The sequence below is a fragment of the Homo sapiens genome, chromosome 3, assembly GCF_000001405.40.
Source record: "Homo sapiens chromosome 3, GRCh38.p14 Primary Assembly".
Classification (NCBI taxonomy): Eukaryota; Metazoa; Chordata; class Mammalia; order Primates; family Hominidae; genus Homo; species Homo sapiens.
The window spans coordinates 87,235,046-87,258,744 of record NC_000003.12 but is presented as its reverse complement, the minus strand read 5'-3'; the positions used below and the strand labels follow the sequence as shown (position 1 = coordinate 87,258,744).

Below are 23,699 nucleotides of genomic sequence, written 5' to 3'. Positions count from 1 at the left end.
TATATAACAAAAGTGGTAACAATTAGACCAAATTTTATTGTTGAATTAGAATGCTTACTAAATAAATTATACTGTCCAGTCTCTTTTTATGATATTATTAAAGACCTAGCATTTTTACAGGTCATAATCTACATAGATCATATATGTATGTTCATACATAATCACCATCAATTAGATGGGTAAAATTTGATATATTACTAACAAAGATAGACATTTAACTAACAAAACAGCTTTCAGTGGCCTAATCATCCATGCTTAAGCACACATTTAGCATCCAAAAGATATTAAATACAACATTCTTATTTAAGAGTAAATTCCAAATTATTCAGCCACACAGGCATTCAAGCCCCTTCTCTGGATAACTCAGTATTTCTTCGCCTACTTAAAACACATTAACTGGGGAAGGGATTCTTTAGTTTGCTAAAAGCCAGATCATGTATACATAAATGTATACGTATATATGCAAAAATGTATATATGCACTTTGAAACTTGCAAATAGAAACAAAATGTCATGCAATATAAATCTAGATTAGTGATTATTTTGCATTTTAAATATGATTCCTCTGGTAATGTTTACTCTTACTTTATGTAACAAAAATAAGCATGTATATATGCTTAAATCAATATGTTTAGATCATAAGTAGTATTATCAAACATCCATCCATAAGGTCATTATTTTCAAGTTTAGACACTACCAGTATTGGGAACCATGTATTTTCCCTAAAAGAAATTATTTTGAGTTAATACTTACTAATGAAATAGCAAATTATTATTATTATTATTATTATTATTATTATTATTGAGACAGAATCTTGCTCTGTCACCCAGGCTGGAGTACAGTGGCACGATTATTGTTCACTGCAGCCTCAGTCTCTTGGGCTCTCCACCTCAGTCTCCTGAAGTAGCTGGGACTACAGGTGCCACGCCACCATGCCTGGCTATGTTCAAAATTTTTGTAGAGACAGGGTCTCCCTGTGTTGCCCAGCCTGATCTTGAACTCCTAGACCTAAGCGATCCTCCCTCCTCAGCCTCCCAAAGTGCTGGAATTACAGACATGAACCAGTGTGCCCAGTGAAATAGCAATTATTTGCTAACTGATATGGTTTGGCTGTGTCCCCACCCAAACCTCATCTTGAATTGTAGTTCCCATAATCCCCACGTGTAGTGGGAGGGACCAGATGAAGATTAGGGGGGCTGTTTCCCACATGCTGTTCTTACAATAGTTGGTTCTCATGAGATCTGATGGTCTTATAAGGGGCTTTCCCCTTAGCTGGGCTCTCATTCTCTCTCCTGCCGCCCTGCAAAGAGGTACCTTCCACCATGATTGTAAGTTTCCTGAGGCCTCCCCGGCCAGTAAATACCAGTAACTCATTTGTATTAATGTTTTGTATTATACAAAACTCATTTATATTGAGACTACTTTCTAACTACATTAAAATAATGCTTTATTTTGATTAATCTTCAAAACAATAGAAAATGGTTAATGCCATTTAGAATCCTAAACCTCAATTAAACAAATGACATACAATTCACTGTGTAGACTGATATGTTCATACTTTGGGGAATAAATGACAAAGGCTGACTGTAGCCATAGTCTTTCCCTCTTACATATTTGTGAACTCTTTAAGTCTTCAGGAATTCAGTAGATTTGTCCATTAAAATGGAAGAAAGATGTTTGTCATTTCTACTAGTTTGGTACATTCAACTTTACCTAGTAAAGGTGGCTGATAAACTCATTCATACAATTTACCTTTCCATCTCTAAAGGTGGAAAGGATTTGTGTAGTCAGAGAAATATTTTCAGTGTTTGGGGATGGCGGCGGGGGGGGTGTATTTTCAAGCTGTTGGGGGAATGTGGTGTTCCAACAGTAGGACACCTGAAATCAGGCTTCACAATCTTCAGGCTTCCTCTAAGGCAACATCAATCCAATTGACTACTAAAACAACTAAGCTTAGAATGGTTTTGAACCCTCAGCTTCTACAGAGAGGAAACTGGAAAGTTGATCTGTATTTCTGAAGTTGCCAAAACCTTTTCATGCACAGTAATGGCATCAAAGGGACAAGTCATCACAGGTCTCTTTTGAGACCAGGAAAACCTGGTCTGTTTTAACATGTTAAAACACCTGTTTTAACAGAGGAGTGTCTAAAATAAGAGTACATATTTCAATTAGGCCCACAGAGATCAGGTGAGAAGTATGGCAACTAGGATGGTAGGAAATGCACATTTTGGCGGAAAAGAGAGTACCAGGTTTTCTCTAAAGGCATTCAAATGCAAAAAGTAAAAGATATATCACTGTGCAAGTCAAACAACATAAAGCCCATAGGCTGACAGCTTCCTCTCTCTGGTCCATAGGGTCACAATCTTGAGCCCCTTCCCATTAGCTCTTGCAATAACCAGATACTCCCCTCAGAGCACACAGTACAGTGTGTGCAACATAATCATCTGACAGATGGTCATTTTATGTTTTCTAAGAACAGGTGTTATCATGAGTATTGACATTTTCGTATGACGTTCTACTTCTCTGGTACTCCGAAATTTCCCCCATAAATAACTTTTTCATTTGGTAACAAAATGTGGCTTTGGGCTGCATCCTTTTCAGTCATAGAGATACTCTTCTATTCTTTCTATGGCAACCTCTTGTTTGATTACAGCAACCTCTTATTTGATTACAATTGTTAAATATTTATTTTTGTGCCTAAAGAAGTTAGAAAAAACAGGTTAAAAAAAACCCAGTGTTTTCATTAAGCTCAATCTATAAGAACCCTTATTTCTTATTCTTTAAGGGCTCAAAAGTAACTTTCCTTTTTAGCAAAGGATAGAATAACATTACAAATTCACAGTGACAGTGATTGTGAAAACTACCACCAGAACACTTTATAAATGTAGCCAAATCAGAATGATCTCTCTGTCTTTTATGTCCAAATTCTTTTGTGGTATCCATGTTTGACTGAAATGAAATAAGTCACTGGGACTTATACATTCAAAAATAAAACTTAAAAATGTTTAATCCCTGAGAATACTGGGAACAAATTAATGTGAAACCACCAATTCTTAGGCTTATTACATTCACAAACATTAGTCTAGTACAAATTATTTCTTAAGAAGATAGTTTTTTTTTTAATGTTAAGTAGCAGAGTTTATCTAATTGTACTTCTAGGAAAATAATAAAGATCATTCTTTTGAAAAATTACCAAATATGCATAAAATTTTTAATTTTAGCAGGAACCAAAAAGAGCAAAAAAGGTAAGAAAAGAACAACAATAATAAATCTTTATTGAGATTTTTTAACAAAATAATTTTTGAAAACAAAAGCTCCCACATGTAAACAAGAACGTAAATAAGTTAGATGGCATTATTATGTACATTCAAGAATCAAAACATGTTCTGGTAAACATTCCATAATCCGGTAAAATGTTTTCACCCATCACTGTTAAGAGAAACTGTGTATTTAATACTATCAATAACAAAACCTAATCTTTGAACATTATAAAATGGTTTACGGAATATAAACTATACAGTTTAGTTTTTCATTCCTCCTAGCAATCCGTGTCACATGTATACTAGTCCTAAGATGTATTTTGTCAGTATTAGCCCAAAATGTCCACCATCCCAAATTAACCAGGTTACACATATCTCCTCCAGTTTTTATGGTAGGATGTGTTAGAACCCATATATTACAACATCATTTTTCAAAACTAACCTAATCCTAAATTCTATTCTAACTAGTCTGGCAATCCTTCATTTTATCTCCCTGTCTACACATTCATTAGATACCAAGGCAATTTCACCTTAAAAAATACTGCTAATACACATTTAGATAGTAATTTCTGGTAAAACTGTAGTTTATTTATCAAAAAATGTGAATTTTTATTTTAGAAATGTAGGTCAAGCATTGTCATAGTTGTAGTACTTAATTGAGAATAATGGCTTCAATTTGGAAGATTCAATATACACATTAAACAAAATTAAACAGTTTAAATTATAATTCATATAATTATAATTCTCATTTTTAGATGGCCAAAATATATTGTTTTCTTACTATAAAGTGTTATTTATTCATCGTCTATTTTTACTAATTATATTCAATTCACAGTAGTGACATCAAAGGGACAAGTCATCATAGGTCTGAGACCAGGAAAACCTGGTCTGTTTTAACAGAGGCGTGTCTAAAATAAGAGTACATATTTCAATTAGGCCCACAGAGATAGAAAAGAGCCAGGATAATCTTTGTATTGAGGCCTTGATTTCAGTTTTAAATGTAATTCTTTTCTGCCAGCTGAAATAATTTAAAGATGTGCACAATAGGTCTGTGCTATTTAAGGCAGGTGTCAAGCACATTTTGAAATTTACCAACTAGAATGTTCTCCTAATGGAAAAAGAAAAAAGAAAAGTTATGACAGTTTTTGTTTAAGACAGATGTTTAAATAGCACTCTTCTTTTTGACCATTTAAAAATAATTTGGCAGCTGTAACCACCTATGGTCATAACACATAATCACTTACAAAAGACAAGCAACAGATACAGAATTAACGATATACTTTTAATATTTTTACAACCCTCTTTAAGTTGGTGCCTAATGGCATTTAACAAGATTTTTATATTCAGTGAAAAAGATTTAGAACATAAACTGACATGAAGTAAGGAATATAATTTCTCTGTGCCATGCAAAAGAGAAGTCAACTTTTTACACATCATCACTCCTAAACAGTTCTAATTAAAATCCAAACTGTTCCCATTTTTGCATCATTGTCATTCTTTGGCAAAAGATTCTAAATAGCCATGGGTTAGGAAACAACTGTTCACTCATGGTCTTCATTTTTTTTTTTTTTGCAAAATACATGTGTTTTGTAAAAGAAATCTGCACTGTGCTTGGTTTATACTACATAATTATAAGTAAGCAAAATAGTATGACTTCTTTTGACTAATCTACTCCTAAAGCCTTGAGTTGCCGTTCAATCTCTTCATCTGAGATTGTAGCCTTTGAAGTAGAGGCAGATGGTAAGCTTCGAGCAGCTGATGGAGCTTTGGCCATCTATATTAAACAATGAAAAAGACAAACGTGCATTAGGAAACATTTGGACTAGGACATACAGGATGTGCTGTAAAGAGGTCTGTTTAATTTACTTTTGAAACAGAAATAAAAACCATGCACCTCCTAGTAAAAACAAAACAATTAAGTGACAAACGTGGTAGGCAGAAACTATTTCCAACTAAGAAAAGATGATGTTCATACCTTTCCAGAAATTTCAATTCCAATTTCATCAAGAACTTGATTCACAATATCCTGGCTTTCTTCTTCGTCATCAGAACCGTCAAAGATGTCATCAAGTGTATCATTGACTAGGGGATATGGGAGAAGGAGCAAAGCAGTTACTTTCAAACAAACTTCAGGTTAGACTTACATATTTACAGTCTAGCCCAACTATTTTGTATATTACAGAAGGCAAACTCAGTGAACAAACTAAAAAAATCCTTCAAAATGTCAGTGAAGTAAATTGATAAATACATATTTGAGCCATTAAATCTGGAATAATGTTCATTTCAACACAAATTATCTTATAGCAAACAAGTCTACTCTTTTTTAAAAAATTAATTCTAATAGACAAAAAAATGTGATAGTCACAGCTACATGTTTAAGATTTTTAAATATTATTTCACAAATTGTATCCATTAAGCTAGTAGAGGAAGAATATGCAAGAATAAATATCCTGTTAATATCTGGAAAACGATTTACTCTTTTTATATCTATAATCATATTTTTATACCTCTTAAATTTACATTCAAGATACAGGTAGAATATTCTAGAGAAATCTAAGGTTCAATATTTTATTAAATTTGCCCAAAGAATGATGTCCGATTTAACAGGATTATTACTGCTACAACCTTTTCTACCTCTCTTCCCTCCCCAAAATATTTATTGAAAGCACTCTGTATAGAATGCATCATGTTGAGTTGTGGGGAAGCAATTTTTGATGGATTGAGATTATGTCTTTTTTATCTTTGAATCTTGGGCATCTAGTGCCTGAAATGCAATATAAATACAATGGGTATATAGACGGAGAAAAACAAAGACCTCGGGTAGTTGACACTTGAGTATAAAAGAAAAAAATTAAGAAACAGATTGTGGTAAGAGAAAAGATAAATGATTATAAAGTTTCAGAGAAGGAGATCACATCCAACTGGGAGGAAGTTACATGTGAAGTAATCTGGCAAGGATACGTAGGGTTTAACCACACAGAGATACATAAATGGAATGGCCTGGGCAAAGTCACTGTGAGGCAACAGGGACACAAGCAAGAAGGAATAAGTTCTTCTGTTTGGTTGTTATTTAAGGTACATAAATGGCAAATGTCTGGGAGAAAAAAAAAAAATTAAAGCAGCTAGCCTAAAATTGTTCCTCTCCTGGTATCTGGGGAATGTCCCCAGAAAAAGAAAGACAGGTAACCTAGTGTGATTTCCTTGTAATCATGTTGGTAACTGGGGCTCCTGGCAAATAGGCTTAATATTTACTAGCAAGAGAGTCCTTGTCTATGCAATGCTCCTACCAGGGTGTCCTGGTTTAGGACTGCTATAGTAACAAACCTATAATCTATGAGCCATGACTCCCTGGAAATGTCACATAAGGTAGTCAGTCATCTAGGGTATAAACTGAAGATGTTTCATAAGCTAAATACTTCCTTCTTGTCTTTTATTTAAAATTTGGGGATTTTATTTTGTAGTAAGCAGAAAACCCCTAAAGGAATTTAGTCAATATGCTCAAAGGTAAGCCTCTGGAAAAAAATAATTTCGCGGTATGTTACTCAGATGTAACTTAGCAAAGTAATACAGGAGATGCAAAGTCCAGGTCATGCAGAGTTTATAAGTATAAGTAAAGTAGTAGTTGCAGAAAAAAAAAAATGAATGAAGTAGATAGAAGAAAAAGATTAGAAAGGTGTAATCAGACTAACAAAGAAGAATGCTTTCAGAAAAAGTGTAATAATGCTCATCAGAGGTATAGTATAAGATTTCCCAACGATCTTGTGTCTTAACTGTGAACAAGCTTTGGAGCAACATGGCAGAATATAAATTCCAAGTTGAAAAAGATATGCTGATTTACACCTTGAATTTATTTTTGGATGAAAATATTGTTAGTGTATTTTACTACGTTATTAAAAAAATGAGTAACCATCAATAACTACTATTATACTACAGACTAACTTGCTATGCATTAAATTATATTACAGACTAACTTGTAATGTATTAAAATACAAATGAGAACAACTGCAGTAGGTATTATAGATATCTGATTAAGTAAGGGTTATTGATTCTTTTCATTATAGCTTAATGGAAAAGTTAATTTCTCTGCTGAGAACTGCCATCACTGGCATTGGAAACCACATGTTAAGTACTAAGATCATTATATAAATAACAATTCTCTCAGTCATTAAAAAATCATTGATGATGCTTCAACAACCTGAAAAAACTCATAGTTTTCAAACTAAAGGCCTGAAGTAAAAACTACAGAACTTTTGGAGCTGCCAAAGATAAACATACAGTATTATTACAACCAAGAATAAAAATAGGTATACTGAAATAGAATACTAGAACAATGAGTTTATTAACCCTGGTAACTTAATTAGATACTATTTTATACACTAAATGTTATTAAATGCTGTTAACTAAAATGATAGCAGATAAGCAAAGCTAAACTGGTATATCCCTACATAGTTGTAAAACATTTAATTTTCTATTTTTCATTTTTTATAGTTGTAAAACATTTAGAAAACATACTTTCAAAACAATGATGTCAGTTTTTGACATAATATAAGCAATAATCTAATGTTGACGAGGGTGCTATGAAGGGTCGGTCATTCATTATTGGTGAAATAAAAATTGGTGTAGTCTTCCGGAAAGAATTGGTAGTACAAACCAACAGCCTTATAAAAGTTAATATTCTGAGGAGATTTAAGAAATTCAGTCAAAGATAATACTTACACATATTTTTCAAAGGATTATCAAACACGTTAAAAATTTTACAACAATCTTATTGACCAACATAAGAATGGTTTGATAAACTAGGGTATACTGATGTTAAATGATATTAAAGCTATTTTTTAAAAAGACTTCAGAGAAGATTTAATGTCAAGGTCATGAGTATCTGCTTATGTTATACTATTATGTTTTTAAAAAGCAAGATATTCATAATTGTACATGTAAGGTGATCTCACTTTTGTAGATCAAGATTATGAGAAAAAAACAGAAAATAAACATACAACATTAACGGTAACTACATCTGAGTGCTGTGGTAATTTTTATATGCTCTGTCTCTGTATTCTCTGTGTTTCCACCATAACATGTAATTAGTTTATATTCAAAAAGACAAAAACTAAATATTAGAAGACTCTTGTGAGAGGGAAAAAAAGTGAGAATAAAAACAAACAAAAAAAGAGCTCCATTACCTCTACCTCTAATACAGGCAAATCTTCTACAGTATCAAAGAGTTGACATAACTCTGAAACTGCTTGACTTATATCATGAATTATGTACCTCACAAGTTGGTTTTGGTATACTAATCAGTAAAGTAAAACTGCTGAAGCCAATGTGTAACAGTGATGTGGCATAACATAGTTTATACCTTCCCTCAGTTAAATACAAATAGAATTTTGAGCCTATCATCTTTGGTTTCATCATTTCTGCCTTCGTGAATGAGAATATGAGACATAGTAAATAAATGGCTAATTCAAAGATGAGAAAACTATAAATTTCATTATAATTTATTAAACTTACTCATTTCTTCAGTCATTTCCATTTTCATGTTTTCCTTCTGGAAATTCTGCATTGTTTGTAATGTCTTTTGTGGATCCATCTTCTTGTTAACTGCCTGCATTGTCTTTAAATGTATTTACAAGATTCATGTTACTTCCATAATTATGAAAATTTTACTATGAAATAAGTCAAAAGGGAACACATCAAATATAGATAGGCTTTAAAAAGATATCCATCCTGCCGTAATCAAACATAGACTGTTAAATATTCTAGAAAAAAATGAAATAGTCATTTGGAAACCATCTGCTTAACATCTATATAATAAAGACCAGTGTGAAAAACCTCATCTGAACAGCAGGCAAGGAATTATGTAATAAAAAACATTATCAGCATAAAATCCTTTGCTATTCAAATAGGAAAATAAAATTTACCTGTTTTTGTGGCAAGTAGGTAATGTCAATAAATTTTTAAATTTAATTTTTATAAAAACTTTCATTAAAATTTTAATGTCTAAATTAAAAAAGATTAGAAGATATACTAGCATATATACTTAATCTATTAACACATTTTAAACCATGGTTTAAAAAAATATAAAAATGTGAGCTTTGAAAAACTATGTGAAAACAATTCTCTTACATTATATATTCACAACTCATTTCATTAAGAGATTCATGTTCTCTAGTACCACCAAAATTTATTTACAATCATGTTTCATGTGCTTACATTTTGGTTAATTACCCACAGCATATACGACAGTGGCCCCATAAGATTATAATACTGCATTTTTACTATACCTTTCTTATGTTTAGCTATGTTTAGATACACAGGTACTTAAACCATTATGTTACAACTGCCTACAAAATCCAGTACAGTGTAGCCTAGGACCAACAGGCTATACCATATAGCCTAGATGCGTAGTAGGCTGTATCACCTAGGTTTATGTAAGTATACTCTGTAATGTTTACACAATGATGAAATTGCCTAAGATGAATTTTTCAGAATGTATCCCTATTGTTAAGCCAGACATGACTGCATTTTTATATATATGATGCATAATACATAGATGATAAACATATATGTATGCATTATATAGCTAATTCAGTATATTAAAAGAATCCATACAATAGAAACATGTTGATTTCAAAGATATGAAGCAAACAGTCCTTTCTCAATGGCATGCAATGCAGTAGCCAAAGTATTCTTTCCAAGTATGACACTGCATTCCCCCCATCCCTCCCCACCCCCAACACACCTAACTCTCTAGTGGCTTTCCAGTGCTGTTAAATTTAGCTAAAAGCTAAATTCCATAATATGCCTATGAGAACTAACATGGATTAAACTTTGCACTATTGCCCTCTAGACACACATCTTTTATTCCTTAAATGTGCTATGTTTTCTCCTGCCACTTGAGGCTAGGAGTTTGAGACTAGCCTAGCCAACACGGTGAAAACCCATCTCTACTAAATATACAAAAATTAGCCAGGCATGGTAGCTCATGCCTGCAATATCAGCTACTCAGGGGGCTGTGGCAGGAGAATCACTTGAACCTGGAGGCAGGGGTTGCAGTGAGCCAAGATCACGCCATTGCACTCCAGCCTGGGCAACAGAGCGAGACTGTCTCAAAAATCAGACACTCAAAAAGAATAAGGTAACTGAGAAACAAAATGTATACCGAAACGTTCTCTCTCTCTCTTTTTTTTTGAGACAGTCTCTCTCTCTGTCACCCAGGCTGGAGTGCAGTGGCGTGATCTCAGCTCACTGCAACCTCTGCCTCTCAGGTTTCTGCAATTCTCTTGCCTCAGCCTCCCAAGTAGCTGGGATTACAGTTGCCCACCACCACGCCCAGCTAATTTTTGTATTTTTAGTAGAGGTGGGGTTTTGCCATGTTGGCCAGACTGGTCTTGAACTCCTGGCCTCAACTGATCTGCCCACCTTGACCTCCCAAAGTGCTGAGATTACAGGCATGAGCCACCATGCCCGGCTTGAGGCTTGAAACTTTCTCTTTTTAAAGATTATAATGTGTCACTGTACTTTTTGTACTTCACAAAATGGATGCATTCTACTCTTTATTTGCACAAATGTATTGGTTACATATAAAATTTTGTTACATGTATATAATGCGTAGTGATCAAGTCAGAGTGTTTAGGGTGTCCACCACCCAAGTACAATATATTTTTGTTAAGTATAATCAACCTACTCTGCGATCAAAGATTGAATTTATTCCTTCTAACTGTATGTTTGCACAGCACTCGACTTTCATGTGCTCTGCTGTCTAAAATGCAATTACAGTTAATACTCCTTATTTGTAGATTCCATATCTGAGAATTTACCTACTCATTAAAATTTATTTGTAACCTCAAATGAATACCTGCAGTGTTTTAATGCTCATCTGTGACATTTACAAAGCAGCAAAACATGTGAGTCACCCAACATGCACATTTCCAGCTGAGGTCAAACAAGGGGATGTTCTGCCTTCTTACTGCAAATTAAGTGTCCTTTCCATAGTTTACTTAGTGTCACATTTTTCTCACTTTTGTGCTTTTTGTTTGTGATTTCACTGATAAAAAATGATCCCCAAGCATTGTATTAACATGCTGCCCAGTGTTCCTAAGTGAAAGAAGGACATGATGTGCTTTATGGAGAAAATACACGTTAGATAAGCTTTGTTCCAGAATGAGGTATAGTCCCATTAGTCATAAGCTCAATATGAGCAAATCAGCTATATATTAAATATGGCATCTTTAAACAGAAACACAAGGTTAGTTAGGTACAGATTAGGTAATGAAAAAACGTTGTGGGCAAAGGCTCACAGAAATATAACTCAGTATTTCCCCTGGGAGCAATGGTTCAATATGCACTATTTCAGTGTTCCCGACTTCATGGGACATAACTACTATGAATAACATAAATTGCCTGTGTATACCATTTCCCTAACATAAAGCTTGTACTTTCCTCTGAGGCTATTTTTTTTCTTTTGCACTTCATATTCACAATCCCTCTTCTGTACAGCTAACATCTAATGATATTCTTAAAACCTTTGTCTTATGCAATGTCTTTTAGATCACCCTACTCAAAGGTCTGTGCAGTTCATAAAGCTTAGCATGACTGATATATAGTGGGTAGGTTCCAAGAGACATATCTTAAGCCTCCAATTGAACTATAAAATTTGTGAAAGCACAGTTTCTGTCTTAACCTCTTTTGATGACTAACAGTATCAAGGAGTGCTTTATTTATTAAATGACTGAAAGACTCAGAGTCCTTTAAACTACAGTAAAAACACTGATTACAGATATAGAAAAATGTGTTTGTGTGTGTATACAGTAAGTTAAACATAAGTTCTAGACAAACATTCTGATAAATCTTTCTTATTATTCATGTGACCTTCTCACACATTCATAAAAATGAATCAAGAGGAAATTATCACTCAAAAGTAGTCAGAACATATAATGAGACAAGAAGGTCAAAAATCTTCTGACAATTTGAGGGGAAAAAAGCAAATACTTTTAAAAGTCAATTTCATAAAATTAGAAGCTACATGTGATCTTTAGAAAAAGGGATTGTTGGCTGGGCGCGGTGGCTCATGTCTGTAATCCCAGCAATTTGGGAGGCTGAGGCAGGCGAATCATCTGAGATCAGGAGTTTAAGACCAGCCTGGCCAGCATGTGAAACCTCGTCTCTACTAAAAATACAAAAATTAGCCAGGTGTGGAGGTGCATGCCTGTAATCCCAGCTACTCAGGAGGCTGAGGCAGGAGAATCACTTGAATCCAGGAGGCGGAGGATGCAGGGAGCCAAAATCTTGCCACTGCACTCCAGCCTGTGTGACAGAGCAAGACTCCATCTCAAAAAAAAAAGAAAAGAAGAAAGAAAACGGATTGTCCTCAAACAAGAAATTTTGTATTAAAACATATCAATAAAGAATCTAGAAGTAATTACCTGGATTATCTAGTATTATAACTCATTTTACTAAAAATTACACACATTTTGTATCACATATACACCAGGAGGTGCTTTTAAATCTGCTTTCAATATTGATATTTAAATATCGTTGATAAAATTAAAAATCTATGAATATAAAAGCTCTCACTTACTTTTGCTGTAGTAGACATTGCTCCAGCCATCTTCATTTGGGAATTCATCACTTTTGTTTGTGTAGACATAGAAGTAACTTTTGAACTTACAGCAAAAGTTCTCGTCTTCTGTTTCCGTAGATGCACAAGTTGTTTGGCTAAAACTTTGCAAGCTTCCTTATTACCAATCTTGGCCATTTTCTTAATTTCTAATTCCTAAGAGAAGAAACAAACAAAAGAAAATAAAATTATTAAAGGGTAGTCGTCAATAATTTATTTCAGAAGAACAGATCTAATACACATAACAGACCCTTTGTCCCCGATCATGAAGAGGGGAAGAAGCTATTATAAAGTCATAGAGCAAAAGAGAAATCTAAGAAGGCAATTTAGTCTACATGTTTACATGGAAAGGACAGAACTAGTATCTCCATCCATGAATACAAAGCAAGTCTACAAAACAGTGCACATGTAGAGCCCAGAAGAAAATTAAAAAAAAAAAAAAGACTATCCAAAAGAAGGTAAGAGAAAAGGAAAAAACATACAAGCAAAGAGTTGGTGGGACAGAGCAATAAAGGGCAAAGTGATAGATCTAAAACTAGTAATATAGATAATTACATTAAATAAAATAGTCCATTTTATACCTCAACTGTAAGACAGACTGTCGGATTAGATAAGAAAGCAAACCCAACTATATGCTATCTCAAGACACCAACTTATACAAAAACAAACTCAAGTAAAAGGACAGAAAAATATATGCTATATACGTACTTATCAAAACCTGCCAATCTAGAGTGGCTATATTAATAGAGATGAAATAAACTTGAGACCAAGGAATACTACCAGAAATAAAAAGGGGTATTTCATAATGATATAAGGGAATCAATACATAAAGATACCAGGACAATCTTCAATGTGTATGTACCTAATAAAAGTGCTTCAAAATATATAAAACACAATGGACAGAACTGAAAGGAGAAATAGACAAATGCATAATTAGCATGAGAAATATCAACAACTCCACTCTTAAGCAAAGTCTAATTGTTACAAGTAGACAGAAAATCTGCAGTGATATAGAAGGCTTAAAAAACACTATCACCAATTTGACCTAACTGACATTTGTAGGAAACTCCAACATTGAAAGCAGAATATACATTATTTACAAGTGTCACTAAACAATCACCAAAGTATTCCATATTCTACATCAGAAAACAGGGCTCAATAAATTTTAAAGGACTGGAATCACACAAAGTATGCTCTCTAACTACAATGAAACTCAAAATTCATAAGAAAAATATGAAAAGAAAATCAGAAATAAGCAGAAATTTAAAAATAATAGTTCTAAATAAGTCATGGGTTAAAGAAAAAACCACAGAGAAAATAATATTTTGAACTTAAGTGAAAATGCAACATAAAAATTTGTGAGTTGCAGTTAAAACTGCTCTTAGAAGAGTTTACAGCATTGAAGTTTGTATTTGAAAAAAAATGAATACTTCATAAGCTTCAACATAACATAGAAAAAAGAAGTACAAATGAAACACAAAGTAGGGAAATAAGATAAACAAAAAATATATATATATAAACTAGGAAAGAAAAATCTGTGGCTCACGCCTGTAATCCCAACACTTTGGGAGGCTGAGGCGGGCAGATAATGAGGTCAAGAAATCAAGACCATCCTGGCCAACATGGTGAAACCCCTCTCTACTAAAAATACAAAAATTAGCTGGGCGTGGTGGCACACACCTGTAGTCCCAGCTACTTGGGAGGCTGAGGCAGAAGAATCGCTTGAACCCAGGAGGCAGAGGTTGCAGTGAGCTGAGATCACGCCACCGCACTCCAGCCTGGTGACAGAGCAAGACTCCATCTCAAAAAAAAAAACAACAAAAAACAAAAAACAAAAAAAAAAAAACAAAAAACAAAAACAGAAACAAAGAAAAATCCATATAGAAAAATCAATGAAACAAAAAATCAAAAGTTATTTTCTTTTTTTAAATAAGAGATCAATCAAATTGATAAACCACTAGCCAGGCTGATGATGAAAACAACTGAGAAAGAGACAGAGAGAGAGAGAACACAGTTACAAATACCGAGAATGCAAAGAAGGGCATCACTTCTTATCCTAAAGATGTTAAAGGATAGTAAGGGCATATTATAAACAATATATCAGTATATTTTAAAATTTAGTAGAAATGGACAAGTTACTTGACAGACTAAAGCCACCAAAGCTCATTCAATAAGACAGATAACCTAATCTATTATATCTATTTTAAAACAGAATTTGTAGTTTAATAACCTACCCACAAAGAAAATCTTCACTCACAGATGACTTTACTGATGAATCCTATCACACATTTAAGGAAGAACTACACAAACCCTTCCAGTAAAGAAAAGAGTATGGGACCCTTGCCAACTCAAGCTATGGGGCCAGCATTACTAGGCCAGCATTATTACCCTGATATCAAAATCAAATAAAAACACTGCACTGCCGCCTGGGCAATAAAAGTGAAACTCCATCTCAAAACAAACAAACAAACAAACAAAAAAAACCCACCACACAAAAAGAAAACTACAAATCAGTATGTTTTATGAACACAGGTGCAGATATTCTTAAAATTTCAGCAAACTGAAAATACATTAAAAAAAATACATCATTACCAAGTGGGGTGTGTCCCTGGAACAAAAGGTTGATTCAATTTTTGATAATCAAAGTAATTCACTGTATTGACAGACTAAAAAAGAAAACCACACAACCATTTCAACAAGTACAAAACACTGCTGAGGAAAGTTGAAGATCTAAATAAATGGAGATCTAAATAATGGAGAGATACATAATAACTTCATAGGTCAGAAGACATAATGTTAATATGTCTTCTGTTAATGTTAACTAACATTATGTTAATATGTCTTATGACACAATGTTAATATGTAACTATTCAATGTAATCCCAATCAAAATCTGATCTTTTTTGTAGAAATTGATTTGTATTCTAAAGTTCCTATAGAAATGCAAAGCACCTAAAATAGCCAAAACAATTATGAAAAAAGAAGTACAAAGTGGAAGGATTAATGCTGTCTAACTTTTAGACTTATTTAAACCTTTATTAACAAAAATAATGCGGTATTAGCTTAAAAGCAGTCATGTAAATCAATGGAACAGAGCCCAGAAAGATGCCTACGTTTGGACAACTGATTTTCCACAAAGACGACAAGGGAAAGTGTCAGCAATAATTATGTTGAAACAACTGACTTTCCATATGCAAAAAGTGAACCTCTACCCTTACCTGACACCATACTGAAACTTAATTCAATATGGTTCACAGTTTTAAATGTAAGAACTAAAACTGTAATATTTCTAGAAGAAAACATAGGAGAAAATATTACTGACTATGAGTTAGGCACTCGTGGCTAGTACACTAAAAGTTAAGTAGTACACTAAAAGTACTAATCACAGAAAAAAGGATGAGAAATATTAACAACTCCACTCTTATGTATACACTCTAATTGTGACAAGTAGACAGAAGATCTGCAATGATACAGAAGACTTAGAAAACACTATCACCAATTTGACCTAATTGACGTTTGTAAGAAACTCCAACATTGAAAAAAAGAATAAAAGAATAAAAAATTGTACTTGATCAAAATAACCCAAAAAACCCTTTCATTCCTCAAAACACACTTAGGAAAATGAAGGACAAGGTTAAGAACTTGGAAATAATATTTGTACAACATATACTTAATAAAGCATTTGTTTCCACAATATATAAAAATCTATTGTAACTAAGTAAGAAAACAATTTGATGAAAAAATGGGTAAAATATTTGAATAGACACTCTGGCAAAAAAGATAAGTAAATGGTAAACAGGTATATAAAAAGATGTTCAACATCATTAGTGATTATGAAAATGAAATTTAAAATGACAACGTACTATACACCCACTAAAATGGCTAAAATTAAAGACTGTCAACTCCAAGTATGTGAAACAACTGTAACTTTCATACATTGCTAATGGGAAGAGAAAACATCACAGGCACTCTGCAAATTTTTCAGCACTTTAATTTTAATTTTTTAGCAGTTAAACATACATTTACCCTATGACCCAGCAATCTCACTCTCAGGAATATACCCAAGAAAAATGAAAACCATGTTCACAAAAACTTTGATTGAATGTTTAAAGTAACTTTATTCAAATAACCAATACCTGGAAACAACTCAAATGTCCACTGGCTGGTAAACAGATAAACAAATTGTGAAATATTCAAACAATTGAATAATACTCATCAATAAAAAGTAATTAACACTAATGCATGAAACAGCACTAATTAACCTAAAAATAATTATGCTGAATGAAAGATGCCATAAAAAAGGAGTTGATATTATATGATTCCATTTATATAAAATTCTAGAAATGAAAAGTAATCTACAGAGACAGATCAGTATTTGCTTCACCAGGAAAAAGGGAGACAGGCAGGGATGCGTAGGAGGGATTTCCAGGGGCATAAGGAAACTTTTAGGGAAGATGGGTATGTTCATTACCTTAACTGTAATAATGGTTTCACGAGTTTATACATATGTCAAAAACCTATCAAATTGTACACCTGAAATATGTACAGTTTATTGCATGTGAATTATCCCTCAATAAAGATATTTTTTAAAGATTTGAGGCAACATACACATAAAAACATAGCATAAAGAATATTTAAAAATGAACCAGACCAGTCTATTATAAAAGTACATTCATTGTCAAAGACACAACGATCTTTAAAATATCAAGCAAGACTCCTATGAGTTAATGTAATTTTTAAAATAACCTTCCTTTGTTTTCCATGACTATTTCATCTTCCTGTTAACTAAGAAGGTGGTTCTGTCTTGAGCAATCTTTCTTCCTAGATACTTATGACTCTCACAAACTGAAGAATAATTTGATTCTATAATCAACAGAATACACAGAATCCCAATAAAAGTCAGCAGAATGACACAATAAACAAAGGTAAGCAGAAGATACAAAAATCATTAACTGCCATTTCTTAATTAAGTAAATCACTTACCACCTGCCATGTGCCTTCTTCCTAGTTAGCTAATTATTCCTACAGTAATTTCCAAATTTGTTTGAAAAGTTAAACTGAAATTTAACGTTCTACTTACCAGCTGTTTTTCTTGTTTCTCTAAAGCTGCTCGATCTCTGATTATAGCCCTCTGTGTACCTCGTAACTCTCGATTCTGTTCCTTTATTACATCTAGGAGAATCACAAAAGAAACCTAAATTTATGGGTTGTAAAATTTTCAATATCATTTAAAATACTGGATTCACAGATCATGATTTAAAAAAATCTTATATTGGCTGGGCGCAGTGGCTCATGCCTGTAATCGCAGCACTTTGGGTGGATCACCTGAGGTCAGGAGTTCGAGACCAGCCTGACCAACATGGAGAAACCCCATCTCTACTAAAAATAGAAAATTAGCCGGGTGTGGTGGCACATGCCTGTAATCCGAGCTACTCGGTAGGCTGAGGTAGAAGAATCGCTTGAATCTGGGAGGTGATGGTTGCGTTGAGCCGAGATCATGCCATTGCACTCCAGCACTCCAGCCTGGGCAACAACAGCGAAACTCTGTCTCCAAAAAAAAAAAACAAAAAAAAACCCTTAGATTTACTAGATGTCAAAATATTTTTTTTACTTTAATATGCTAAAAAATTAAATATTAAAACCTGAATTATAAATATTAATAAAATATAAAGAATTGATAGCAGGTGAATGCAAATATGCTACAGTCTGAGATTTAACCAAAAGTATTACATCACAATAAAATATTCCCCTACAGAACTGATTAGTATAGTGTTTAATATAGCACATATATATGTCACACACACACACACACCCTTTTCATGTTTCCTTACTCTAATACTATATGAAATTCAGGAAGGAAGACAGGTTATATGTTTATTAAATCTGTTTGGTTTTCTGCAGTAAATATTAACAGACTGAAACACCAGACTTTCCAATGAGGCAGATCTGGATTTGAATCTCACCTCAGCCACTTGATCATCATGATTATACCTTGGAAGAGTTAGTTAATACTCGAAACCTCAGCTTTCTTTTTCATAAAAAAGGATAGTAAGGAGTAAATAACATACAAATGCTCTGATAACTGCAAGTATCCTCTCAATTATAGTATCTTTCTAATTTATCTGAATTCATTTGGATTCTTTAGACCTACCTTTTGAAGAATTAAAGTATTTTTTAATTAAGAAAACTCAATGTTAGGAAGGCTAAGTGACTTGCCCAAAGCCACATAGATAGCAAGTAGTAACACCAGATTTGGTTGGATCCAACCATTCTGTCTCTTGAACCAGTGATCTTAACTACTTTACTAGGCTAACTTTTTAATAAAGAGATTTAAAAACAACAACAACAGGAGAAAGAACAGTCTCTTCATCAAATAGTACTGGGAAATCTGGACATCCACATGAAAAAGAATAAAGTTGGACCTTTACGTCACACTGTATACAAACATTAACTCAAAAAAGACCAATAACCTAAATGTAAGAGCTAAACCTTAGAACACATAGAAGTAAATCTTTATGACCTGGGATTTGGCATTACATTCTTAAATATGACATTAAAAGCATAAAGAACAAAAGAAAAAAAAGATAAATTGGACTTGGTGAAAATTAAAAATTTTATGCATTAAAGAACATTATTAGGTGAAAAGACAACCTATAGAATAAGAGAAAATATATGCAAACAATATATCTGATAAGAGTTTGGTATGCAGAATATATAAAAAATTCTTATAACTCAAGAAACGAGATACAAACAACCCAACTTTTAAATGAGCTAAAGGCTTGAACAGACGTTTTGCCAAAGAAGATACACAAATGGCCAATGAACACATAAAAAGTGTGCTCCACAACATTAGTCCTAAAGAAAATACTACTACTTCACATGTATTAGAAAGGATAATTTTTTATGAAAGGAAAATAACAAGTGTTAATGAAGATGTGAAAATTGGAACCCTTGCATATTGCTCGTCGGAATGTAAAATGGTTTGGTTACTATGCTTAACAGTTTGGTGATTCCTCAAAAAGTGAAACATCAAATTACTGTATGACCTAGTAATTCCACTCTTAGATCGAAAGAAGTGAAATAAGTATTCAAACAAATACTTCTACATGAATGTTCACAGCATTAGTAACATTAGCCAAAAGGTGGAAATAACCCAAACGATCACAAAGAGGTGCACAGATAAACAAACGGTGGTATATAAATACAATGGAGTATCATGTAGCTATCAAAAGAAATGAAGTACTGATACATACTACAACATGCGTGAACCTCAAAAACATTATGGTAAGCGAAGATGCCAGATAGAAAGGGTCACAATTTATAATTACATTTATATGAAATATCAGAGGTAATTCCATACAGACAGAACAAATTGGTATATGGCAGGGGTTGGGGAGAAGAGACAATGGTTAAGTCACTGCTTAATGGTTACAGGATTTTATTCTAAGGTGATGAAAATGTTTTAGAACTAGATACAGGTGGTGGTAACACACCATTGTGAACTGCTTAATGGGTACAGGATTTTATTTTGAGGTGATGAAAATGTTTTAGAACTAGATACAGGTAGTGGTAACACACCATTGTGAATGAATGTACTAAATGCCACTGAACTGTTCACTTTAAAATGGTTAATGTTATATGAATTTAACTTCAATTAAAACATCAAAGCCAAAAATCTTTATCTTTTTTAGGATAATTATAGTTATTCTATAGTTATAATAGTTACAGTTAATAGTTACTACAGTCATATTGATAAAACTAATCAACCACAATTACTTTCTGAATAAAAGCTAAAATAAGATGTCAAAGCTCCTATATCCTACCTACAAGACATCTATCGTATCTCCTTTGCCTATTCTGTTTCTCAATTTTATACTGGTGGGCATCTAATACTCAGGATCTACTAATGAGGTATTTATTCTACCTATTGTTGAAATACAGGAATATGAAACCATAGCACATCTCTAACAGAGATAAAGAAGGACGGGGCTTTCTCTCCTGCCACCTACTTTCTTCTTCTAAAATGAGTGAGACTTGATGGGAAACATACATTTCATTTAAAAGAGAGGGCATGGATGATCCACAGATAAATATATTTGGGAAATGTTGAAACTGAAAAAAAAATTAAACACATTTCTTTGCTTCAAGGCTTCTGGGAATGTTTAATACATGGGTATGCATTGTCAATCCTTAAATGAAGAACCTATCATAGATTATTGACCAAACGTATTAAGAACTGTTTTTAAGAAATATCTATTAATATTTCCTAGATACTAGTGTCCCCTAGAGCATGGATTGGAACATGCTGTATTAGTTTGCCAGGGCTGCCACAATGAAATATCGCAAAGTAGATGGCTTAAACAATGAAAACGTATTTTCTCATAGTTCAGATGGCTGAAAGGAGTCAAGGTGCCAGCAGGTTTAATTTTTCCTGAGGCCTCTCTCCTTGGCTTGCAGATGGCCACCTTCTTGCTGTGTTCTCAGATGGCCTTTTCCTTGTGGATCTTTCTCTTCTTCTAAGGATAGCAGTCATTGAATCAGGGCCCCATCTGACTTTATTTAACCTCGATTACATACTTAAGGGCCCTATCCCCAAATACAGTCACATGAGTGGTCAGAGCTTTGTCATATGAATTGTGGGAGGCAGGGGGGACAATTCAGCCCATAATACACATCTTTCCTCAGACATCTATAGGCTGACCCCAAATAACAAAAATGCTCTCATTTCCCTGTCTTTCAAAGGAATCATGAACCTCTTCATCCGCCAACACCCAAACACACTCGATCCTCTTTTGGACTTACTTCCCTATTTTGTCAAAGCCAATGGACTGATATAAAAAACATTTACCACTTACCCCACTGTTTCCATAGAAAATGTGCTCTAATTTTTAAACTTAAATAATAAATGAACTTCTGGAGTACAACCCCTTTGTGTACTAAGGACTAAGGACTCCCTAAACTCAACTAGTATAAGATGAATTGACAGTATCAGATAGTGATGTTTTGTTTTGTTTTGTTTTGAGATGGAGTTTTGCTCTTGTCACCCAGACTGGAGTACAACAGCATGATCTCGGTTCGCCTCCCAGGTTCAAGCGATTCTCCTGCCTCAGCTTCCCAAGTAGCTGAGATTACAGGCATGCGCCACCATGCCTGGCTAATTTTTGTATTTTTAGGTATTTTTAGTAGAGACGGGGTTTCACCATGTTGGCCAGGCTGATCTCGAACTTCTGACCTCAGGTGATCCAACCGCCTCGGCCTCCCAAAGTGCTGGGATTACAGGTGTGAGCCACCATGCTCGGTGGTGATGATGGTCTTATACAAGCTACAACAATACTGCTCAGAAAGACAAGCCACTATACTCAGAAGTTAAACTGTGGCCAGATAATTGACACAGGTGCACAGCAACTGCTGAAAGTTAAGATCTAAAATTCTATCTACATACATTTTTTTTTCATTACGAGGGTGATATTAAAAATATAAATGTGGTCTTCATCCTGGGTGCCTGGCACAGAGGGCCTAAAACCCTTGGAATTTCCTGAATGATAGGAATGTCTTTTGTTATTCACAACAAGCTTCTTTGTACCATATCTGAGTATATGGGGTAGGTGTGGGAGGGTAGCTGATAGCCTCAGGATGAGGTTAGTCACCAGAAAGACCAAACACTTGACTAAAGGGTGGGAACTTTTAACTCCACCCCCATATGTCAGGAGAGGTGGGTGCTTGAGATTAGGTTATAAAAAAACCTTACCTAAGAGATTCAGAGAACCTCTCAATTGGTGAACACACTGATATGCTAGGAAGATGGCACACACAGAGAGGGCATGGGAGCTCTGTCCTCCACCTTCGACCCTTGACCTATGGATCACTTCCATTTGGCTATTACTAATTGTATACTTTAAAATAAACCAGTAACAGTAAATAAAGCACTCTGATGAGTTCTGAGAGTTGTCCTAGTGAATTATCAAAGTTGAAGATGAAGTTGTAGGAAAACCCTGGTCAGTCAGAAGTACTCACCAGAAGCACAATCTGCGTCTTTCAAGTGGCATCTGAAGTAGGGCAGTCTTGTGGGACTGTCTTTCACCTATAGGGTCTGCCCTAACTCTAGATAATTACCGTCAGAAGTGAACTGAATTGCTGAACACCCAATAGGTGTCTGAGAATCAGAGTCAAGGCTAGATATAGCCATCTTTACTGAAAAACAAGTATTATTACATGAGAATTCAACAAAACATGTAATTTAATTAAAATAGTTTAATTTTTCTCAATATAATGTAACTATATGTATCATAACAGTCACTGTATATCATAAAAGGAAAAATAAAGAAAATTAACTACTGCATATTCCACAGCCTCATAGTTGTTAATAGGCCTATTAATATTTAAACAGTTCTAAGCTATAAACTCAGAGCGGCTAATGTTACATACTAAAACATAATCACAACACCTTAAAACATATTATGGTAAGTAGGAAAAGACAGTAAAACATATTTTCATACGAGACAATAGAAATATACTATAAAACTAACATATTACTCTTCTCTTTTTAAAACAATCTCTATATTAAATCCACATTTAATAATTTGGTCTTCTAGATAATACAGAAGGAATAATATGAGAACGGTCTGAGGCAATTTTAATGTTTTTACAGCCAAATTTATTATCCACTAGATTTATTTCTTAGTAGGTATGATTCCATCCCAAGATTACAATCTCTTTAAGAGAAGGGAATACATATATTTATTTATTTGCTTGTTTGTAGTCCCACCTTTCTTCATGCAAATAGCATACCAATATATCATACTTACTAGCGATCTATGGGAGTACA

At 33.8% G+C, this 23,699-nt stretch overlaps 1 protein-coding gene across 4 annotated transcripts in view; it reads right to left on the bottom strand.

The window, feature by feature from the left end:
• The window catches only part of CHMP2B (charged multivesicular body protein 2B), a 28,248-nt gene continuing 7,737 nt past the window's right edge, over positions 3,189-23,699 (bottom strand). Inside the window, exons 2-7 of one of the 4 annotated variants that reach the window (NM_001410777.1) lie at positions 18,292-18,418; positions 17,955-18,046; positions 12,837-13,031; positions 8,768-8,870; positions 5,235-5,341; positions 3,189-5,033 (exon numbers count right to left, since the gene is read on the bottom strand). In NM_001410777.1, coding sequence (NP_001397706.1) covers positions 4,923-5,033; positions 5,235-5,341; positions 8,768-8,870; positions 12,837-13,031; positions 17,955-18,046; positions 18,292-18,418 — 735 coding nt within the window. In that variant the 3' untranslated portion in view covers positions 3,189-4,922. Of the gene's footprint in view, positions 5,034-5,234; positions 5,342-8,767; positions 8,871-12,836; positions 13,032-17,954; positions 18,047-18,291; positions 18,422-23,699 lie in introns of those variants that run through there. The other 3 variants (XM_011533576.3, NM_014043.4, NM_001244644.2) reach the window with 3 other exon arrangements.